This window comes from Homo sapiens, chromosome 6 (assembly GCF_000001405.40).
Source record: "Homo sapiens chromosome 6, GRCh38.p14 Primary Assembly".
NCBI classification, from domain to species: Eukaryota; Metazoa; Chordata; class Mammalia; order Primates; family Hominidae; genus Homo; species Homo sapiens.
In genome coordinates this window covers 15,859,854-15,868,816 of record NC_000006.12, presented here as the reverse complement: position 1 = coordinate 15,868,816, position 8,963 = coordinate 15,859,854, and the positions used below count along the sequence as shown (strand labels likewise).

The 8,963-nt window shown below is 38.9% G+C and overlaps 1 annotated feature.

Annotated features, from left to right (window-relative positions):
* Nucleotides 8,443-8,643: a silencer, noted in NCBI's record as "peak5692 fragment used in MPRA reporter construct". NCBI's record gives its function as "represses an SCP1 promoter by STARR-seq MPRAs in K562 erythroleukemia cells {active_cell/tissue: K562}" and the evidence as "EXISTENCE:reporter gene assay evidence [ECO:0000049][PMID:32103011]".

Here is an 8,963-nt window from a genome sequence, read left to right as displayed (position 1 = left end):
CTGGAATATTACATTGGGCTCATGCTATTTTCTGCTCCATGCCATTTTGTACCCTCCCAGGAAGAGCCCCGCATATTCTACCATGATCACTTGAAAACACCTTGAACATAAGAAGCCAGAATTATTGGCATTAAATCAATAACCGAGTTTTGCTTTGTGAACCAAGACATTATTTTTGCCAGATGAAAGGAGAGAAAGAGACAGCAAGGCCAACAGACAATTTATAAAAATCTCATGGGATGACTTGTGTTTCCTTGGGGAAGAGTTAAAACAAATTAGATTGTGGCTGGTTCTATTTGTGTCAGAACCAAACATGCTGATTTCACAAAGCTTGTAGACCTTTGGATGCTTTGTGTAGAACTGTATTTTAGTTTTCATGCATTTGCAGTGTTTCCCCAAGCTACTCATCTGAGCATGTAGAAGACATGGAGCTGCATTCAAAAAATGGAAACCACAGTTATCCCACACACATGTATGTCCATTAGAGAATAGAAACATGAACCATAAAGGACGACTCCAGGACAGCAAGAAAATCAAAGGGGTATTTTTCATGTGGCTACCATCTGAGCTATCTCCTGTGCTTCTGTTTTTATATCTCCACCATTGATGTTTATAGTACTTTGAGTTTACTACATTTTTACATACCTTATTTCATTTGATCCTCATCATAACTATAGAAGGTAGATATTATTAGCCCCCATTTTATAGCTATGAAGAAACTGAAGCTCAGAGAGTTTATAAATTATTCAGAGAGCGGCCTTTTAAAGTACATTTGAGAAATCTTTTTTTGTGATCATGATGATGATAGCATTAGAGATTTTAAAATATTGCTGTGTGTCTGAGGAATAAAAGACTGCATATGGGTACAGTGTACACTGCTCAGGTGACATGTGCACCAAAATCTCACAAATTACCACTAAAGAACTTATCCAGGTAATCAAAACCACCTGTTTCCCAAAAACTATTGAAATTAAAATAAATAAATCAATAAAATATTGCTATATGTAATAATAGTATATAATAAGACCCTTGACTGGCAGTAATACTGCATATAACCATATTGCCATATTCATTATAATATGAGAAAGAAAGCAGAAATTTAAAATAGGAAAACTCACATCTGGTATCACACTGATGGATTTAAAAGCGTTGCCAATAGTATTGATGTGGCTGACATAACAAGATAGAAAAGATGGCAAATTCTGAAGTGAACGACCAACCATTTTCAAGTTAAATAAAAGAGAGTTGTCCTAAATGTTCTCAAAATACCCACAATTTGGCTATGATACAAGGAGTACAGAAACATTTGTGTTTATGGTCAACCTGTGGATTATGTGTCTCAAAAATACGTAGACACTTTGTAATATGTTGATTTTTATTTTAATGGATAGGCTTGTATTTTGATACACCCTATGTGTATACATACAGATTATGAAAAAGTTACCAATTACAATTCCACAATTGTATACAGGGCCCAGGCAAATTTAGTTTCAGAGGCAGTTAGTACGCAGAACAGCCATTTCTAAGATACTCTTTTCATCCTAATATTACATGTAAACATTTTTGAATGTCTCCTGTTTTTATTTTAACTTGGCTCAGTTAACATCACATACCTGAACTTATGATAAAATCACTGAGGCCAGAAATCCTTCTTTCTTACTGTCCTCTACCCTCAACAAGATACTCCCTGAATGTCCCTTTAATCTACTGTTTTCAGGAGGGGCTGGTGGACTTGAGATTCTAATAGAGCCTGAGCATCTTCCCTAATCTAGTCATTAATCATTAATTGCTTTAATAGTTTAAAATTTATGCAAAGACAGTTCATCCATAATTATGCATGTATTATACCTTTGGGCATATGAAATGTGAAACAATTTTCTATAATTTCTAAGGGCAAGGTAACAGACAATTTTCCAATCATTTTTCCAGAGGTTACCAACAGGATAGATTTTCTTTCTTCAAGGAAATAGTTTCCAAAATATTCTCCCCAGAGTTCTAAGGGTTCCTAGGAGGTGCCCCTGGAGCCTCAGAGGGTGTTGGGGGTGGTAAGAGCAGACACTATGCTTAATCCTGCAACTTTCCTCATACAGAGCAGCAAAATTGTTTTGAATGTTGATATTCTTAATAAAATTTGGCTTACAGCCATCAACAGCAAAAAACTGAAAACTATTGCTTTAAGGTTACTGTATAAATGGTCTCGAGATATCTAGTAAGGTCTACTGAAACTCTCTGAAGCCAGGTCAAAGCAAGTTTAAATCACTTCAACTTTTTTCTTTTAACCAAAAAACTACTATTTTAGGAGGACTATGAGAACATTCAAAAACTAAAAAGCAATAGGATTTTACATTAGTTGGGCATGATTTTAATAAGGAACTCACTTTTTTTTTTTTTCCTTTGAGAAGGAGTCTCACTCTGTCACCAGGCTGGAGTGCAGTGGCGCAATCTCAGTTCACTGCAAACTCTGCCTCCTGGGTTCAAGCGATTCTCCTGCCTCAGCCTCCCGAGTAGCTGGGACTACAGGTGCATGCCACCAGCCCGGCTAATTTTTGTATTTTTAGTAGAGACGGGGTTTCACCATATGGGCCAGGCTGGTCTCGAACTCCTGACCTCGTGATCTGCCCGCCTTGGCCTCCCAAAGTGCTGGGATTATAGGCATGAGCCACTCCGCCCGGCCAGGAGCTCACGTTCAAAACCATGTGTTCGGCTACCTGAGCTCCACAACTGCTCCTTCTTTGGCCTCCGGTGAAAGTACAGGAACCCCAAAAATGGTTTATTCCCTCTCTTTTGATGCTTCAAACAACTCTGGGATCTGCCTCCCATTTGCCATGTTGAACCTGTTGGTTTGGTCTTGCCTGACCTCAGTAGTAGATTGCTGGCTTCTCTCTGGCTGCCTGTGCTGGTCATGCTATTGCACACTGTCCTTGGATTCCCTAGCTGCTCTCATCCAACACTCTACATCTACATCCCAACCTCTCCTCAAAACCAGCCTCAATTCTCAAAATCTTATCCTATAGGAGGTCATCAAGAAAAGAGCTCAGTTGGTTTACTAACACAAAATAGAAGCACCTTTCAACTCTGCATTTTAATCTGAATGTAAATTATAGAATCATGGAAAAACAGGTCTTTGAAGGGACATGAAGGAGCCGGTGATCCAATCCCATGACTATTCTTACCCTGGCCCAAAATCTTAGCTCTATTTAAAAATGAGTTCTAGAGAAGAATTCACTGCTTTCCTAAGATTCAATAATTATTCTTATACCCTGTGGTAGGAAATTCATCAAATTAGTTTGTATTTTAAAATTAGCTTTTCAGGTAGAGAACAAACCTTTTTTCACATCCTCAAAGACTCATTAAGATTATATGTAAGAAAAAAACTGAATCAACTAAAAAATAAAATTATAGGCCAGTTTTAAGCCTCAGTTGGCTCCTCTGTGGAATGGAGAAAATAACCTTACTCCCTTGTAGGGTTGTTCTGGAGTCTTAAGTGGGTCCCTGCCATGTAAAGAGATTGGCACAGCCTGATGTATAGGAAGCAGTTAAGAAAATGTACCTTGTTCTGAATGGTTGTTGGCTGTTGGTTAATAGGACCAGGCCTTTGAGTTTTCTGCTCACCCAGTATGACAACAGACATCAAATCACTTTATCCAGATTGCTGAATAACTGCTGGCTAGCAATGTGGTGAATCGTTTCCAGTTAGGATCTAACCCAGCATCTTTCATTTATACCCAGGACTCTATTTCCTACCACCATTCCTAAAGCCACTAGCTCTTGTTTCTTTACAAAGAAACAAGCCAAAAAGAATTCACAAATGTCTTTCTATTTCTCCATCCCCTCTCCATCCCATGAGATCCCAAACAAAATATATCACATGAATGTGACATGGAAACTTTATTCTCCAGGAACAATTTTGGTTAAATTTTGACATTGTGTGTTCCTTCCTAGAGCAAGACAAAGTCTCTTTATTTACTTAGCACTTCCTTAGAAATGTTACCAAGCCTTGTTTGGCTATGATGCCTGATCAAAGGCTCTCCTTATTGTTACTTAATCTATTTCATTTAACTTTGATATACAAGAAACTCTTTAGGTGTTTTTATTAAATACTTTTTATGAAAATGTCTAGAGTCTGTTATTGTAATTTAGCAACCAAAGAAGACATTTATCCTTATAAAATGAAGTACGTCACCCATTCACCATTAATACCTAAGCTTTTACTCCATGGCTTTAAAAAAAATTAAAACGTGGGAAGGAACTTGGCAGATAGATATGAGTCAGTGTGATGAAGTGGAAAGAATAAGGCATTTGTAGTTAGAAGACTTGGTTTCCAATCCCAGCTCTGTTATACATTAGCTGTGACCTTGGGCATATAAATCCTCTGACTTTTCTGAGTTTTTCTCTATTCATGAAATGAACATGACAATTTTTGCTTTTCCCTTCTTCACGGGGTTGATGTGAGGCTCAAGCATATGTAAGAGAACTCTAGTCCATTCAAACTTGCTCTCTCAGCCCTCCTCTGACTTCAGCTCTTCCTGATTTCTCCAGCTGGTTCTGCACTGACCGCCCTCATATTCCACAGCACTGCTCACCCACGTGTGTGCCACTTGTCTCAGGAGAGAAATACTTTGGCCTTTCATGGAGTTAGCACTTGTTCTTGTTCTTACTCATTGTTGATTCCAGACAAGTAAGTCTAAGAGACCTCACAGGGCTTAATAAGATCTGAAAATAGAAAAGGCTTCCAAACAGAATTATCTTCTAAACGTAACTCACGTATGAAGAACCCTCATGTTCACACTGTGTCCTGCTATCATTCAGGTCACTCTGTTATTCAACAGAACATCACTGCAAAAGTCATTTCATAGAATGTTGCACACACACACAGACACACACACACACACACACACACACACAATTTTCTTCATCCTAATGGCAACTATTAATGGTTGAATAATGAATTCCTGTTAAAATTCTTGACCATTTCTTGCACAAGATAACCTCTGGTAAAACCAAATTTTAGTAACATGAAGAGTCAGAAATTATTTGGGGAATCTGAGCTATGCAATGTATATAAAAATACAGATTTATATATCCATATATATGACATATAAGTATGTATGTATATATGTATATGTATGTGTGTATATATATCAACACGTAGCTATATAGATATCTAGATATATCTATTTCTATCTATCTATGTATGCATACACACATACAATTAAGTTGATTATATTAAATGATTATGCAACTCCCCATTACTTTATGGCTTACAGGCCCAATCTAAGTCATTATTTTTATTGGGGCCTATCACCTTCTTTAAAAATTTGGTATGAATTTTAATGTCTATAAAGTTGAAAAGATCCACACTCATGAGATACGCTATTTTCTGACAAATTAGGTGTAGCCTTATTATAATCAATGGAAAACATATTTGGCTGTTTTTCTGCTCCCAATCAAAGGCAGTCACACTGCTGCCTAAGCAACTGCATTTTTCCACGTGCTCATCTCATGATTGACTCCCATGGTGGTTTTTCGTATTTAATTTTAAAAATGCATTCTAAAGTTCAGAACCTAGCTTGACGGTACAGTAACATGTAGCTCTAAGTACTCCTGGGGAACAGAAAGTGCCTCCAAAGATGTAGAGCTGGAACCTACACACAGAAGTGTGAGGGATCCAGCAATTCCTAAGAAAGATGAGGACCCAGATCTGAGCCCCCAACTCTACCACTCCCTCCCCTCTGGCATCACCATCTGGATGAAACTGGGCTAAGGGAAACGTCAGGGAGAGTCTAAAATGGGCTGCATGTGGAGTGGTGTCACATTCCCATGGTAATAGAAAGTCAGGGAGGGGCCTTATAAGATACTATTTTTGATTCCCAGATCTTTTTAGCACTGATAGTCAAAGCCATCTCCATGTCTCCCTCCACCTCCCTTATAGCCCTCCCAAAGTGGAGGGGCCCTTTTAACTGTTGCCAAAGGTTAGCTATCTGATCAATTCTCCATAAGCTGTCTGAAAACTGAAACATCAACCCATTCTTCCTTCTAACTCACCCCTAGCCACCAACCTGACTTGGTAGATTTTTCTTTTTTGGGTGGGGCAGGGGCATTGACAACATACATGGCAGACCCTGTTCATTTATGCTAATGGTAACAAAGTTAATTGTTTAGTAAGCAATTGGTTAAACATATAGATTGGCTGCACAATTTTGCCCAAGCAGAACATCGTTACTGTCTTTCCATCATCCATATAGACCGGCGTTCTACAAACCTCTGTATTTATACATCAGTACAAAAGCCAAATTCCTTTGATATAGGAAGTAATGGGACTGCCAGGCCTTTCCCCCTTCCTACTTCTCACCACTTTTAGATGCTTTATATCATTATAAATGAGCCAGTTATCAATGTATTGCCTCTCAGATCCAATGTCACCCTTCATACCTACTCTGCCATAATCCACTGGACTCAAAGCATTTCTCCCTTAGAGTGAAAGTGATAGAAGCTTTGTCAGTAGAGGGTACTGCAGAGACATTCCAGGAAGAAGGAGGCTTCTCTTCCTGGCTCTAGTTGCCACATTTTGCTTTTCTTATCCCTACCACAGTCTGTCAATGGGGCATGGGTGCAGAGATACCTGGTGGTGTTCTGCCCCAGCCACACATTTGCAGTCCCTCAGTGACCAGTGCAGTCCTGCTTGGGTCTGGTGACCACCTTCCCATGGCCCTTCCCATGTGGACACCAAACGATACAGGCCTTCCACCCGCTATGGAGCCCTGACTCCCTCTGTGCCCCTGTCCACCTGTCCACTCGCCTGTATCTCAGAGGGCTGTCTCTTGTTGCTCAGCACCAATGGATGAGCTAGAACTGGAAACCCAGCAAAATTATCTGCTACCACTGGGCTGCAACCATCCCTTCTCCAGCAAGGTCTGAACCCCAGGCTTGGTGGGTGGGGGCCCTCCCAAGTTTGTCCCTCCTTAGATACTCTCCCTCAGCCCTATGGTATCTTTTAGGGTTATCTTTACATCCTGATGGTTGCTCTCCTATCATAACTCAGCAATTTTTTATATTAAACTTCCCTGTGTAAATGACTGTGTATTTTCTCTCTCCTGATGGGACCCCTGTGGATTCACCGTCTGCCCATACGGGAGTGACTTGGGTATCTAGCAGTCTCCCAGCTGACCATTAATTTGACCACCACTTGAAGCCTCACTCTTTGTTTCCTGGACTTTTTCTGTATTCAGCAAGGCTCCAGTGAATTAGTTAGAAAGAACTTGGTTGATCAATGAATGTTTCTGCTTAATGGTTTTGCGAACTTTCACCCAATGATACCCATTCTCTCTTTGTAAATAGTGATTTCTTCAGGTAAAATGGATAAAAACGTGGGTTAAAAAAACCCATCCTTTCTTAAAAGAGACTCTATTCAGCCCCTAAGAAACTCTTCATTATCTGGAAGGATATAGAGAGCCAACTTGTGCTGTTTTTCTGCTATTGTAATATTCATGAACTCCAGCAGAACACACAGGCTCCACCAGTCTAAAGTAACTAAGTGATCACTATATTCTTTTAATAAGAAGGGTTTTGAGAATGGCAGGTGAGTAATTCTGGCCTCCGTCAGCTGAAGGCACTGTAAGCATGGAGGCTGAAAGATGAAATGGTAACTCTGTTATCTTGCTTATTGTAATCCTTTCCATAACATTGGGGAGTGTGACAGCTGCCACTCCTGACTGATTATCATACATTTATGGATTGAAACACAGAAGGTATTGATCAGCTTTCCAGGTAGCAATCTCTTTCCAACGCAACTCCCAGTTCAAAGAATTCATTTTCTTTTGTACTGCTGAAAGCTACTTGATTTTCAGAGCATGTTCTTACCTAATGGCATAAAGATTGAAGCTGTATTTTTTTTTAAATAATGAGCCTTTAATTAGAAGAAATTTTTTAGTAAATTGGATGATAAGAGCTTTTTACAGAAAGGAAAATCAATTTGAAAATAACTTGTTTTCATCAGGTCTTGTTGTGAATGGTTTGTTGCTCTTGGGAACAGAGTGAGATCTATTCATGGGACAAGCACATGGGAATTACGAAGGACACATAAGTAACATACTGTTAGCAACAGTTCTCTTGGAAAACACATTCAATGAAAGTGTCTTCCTTATAAAATGGCCTCTTCTAAAAATCTGAAAATTAAAAAAAATTGTATTAGATTTAGACTTGGAATCTCACCCTAGAGACATATAGTTTTATAAGTAAGGGCATCAATGGCCACTTATGTAGAAAATAAAATCCCAGGAAGAAAACCTCCTCTGTACCTGTCTTGTCATTGTGAACAAAGCATTTTCATTAAAGACCATTTCTTTAGGGCTTTCAGGGTTTGGGAGCTTCAAGAGTTGCTTATTGAAATGCAGATATTCCTAGTAGGAATCACCCTTTAAGTCTTCAGGAATTAACTTTATCAAGGTTAAGTCTATCAAGTTGCTTTGTAATCATGACAGTTCCACAAACAGAGACACAAGTAACATTTCTTGGGCTAGAGGTACTGGGAGAGTGACTATCCATTGTTCTATAGCATCTTGTTGCTTATAGGTTCATCTCTTTCTTAGTACATGGAGAATTGCTTGAAGCATACATGGTCCATGTATCCTCCTAGACAGGCAAGCCAAGTCACCAGGATGCAATATACCTAGAAACATATTCTAAGCAACTTCTACATGTTCTAGGATTTTTTGGTCATATTTTACTTTTGGGTAATGTCATAAAAAATCCATATAATAAACAGCCTTATGAAGTGCATCATTGCATTTACTGTAAGATCATTGTCAAAGACTTTGTCCATTGCCTCATATACTGTCTTCTGGAAACAATGACATTTACTAGTTCTCCGGGACGACTGGTTCCTTTTACATTATGGATACTGTGAAATGTTCTATAGACTAGGCTTCCTTTTTTTATTTTTAGTTTTTGCTATTTGCTGTAAA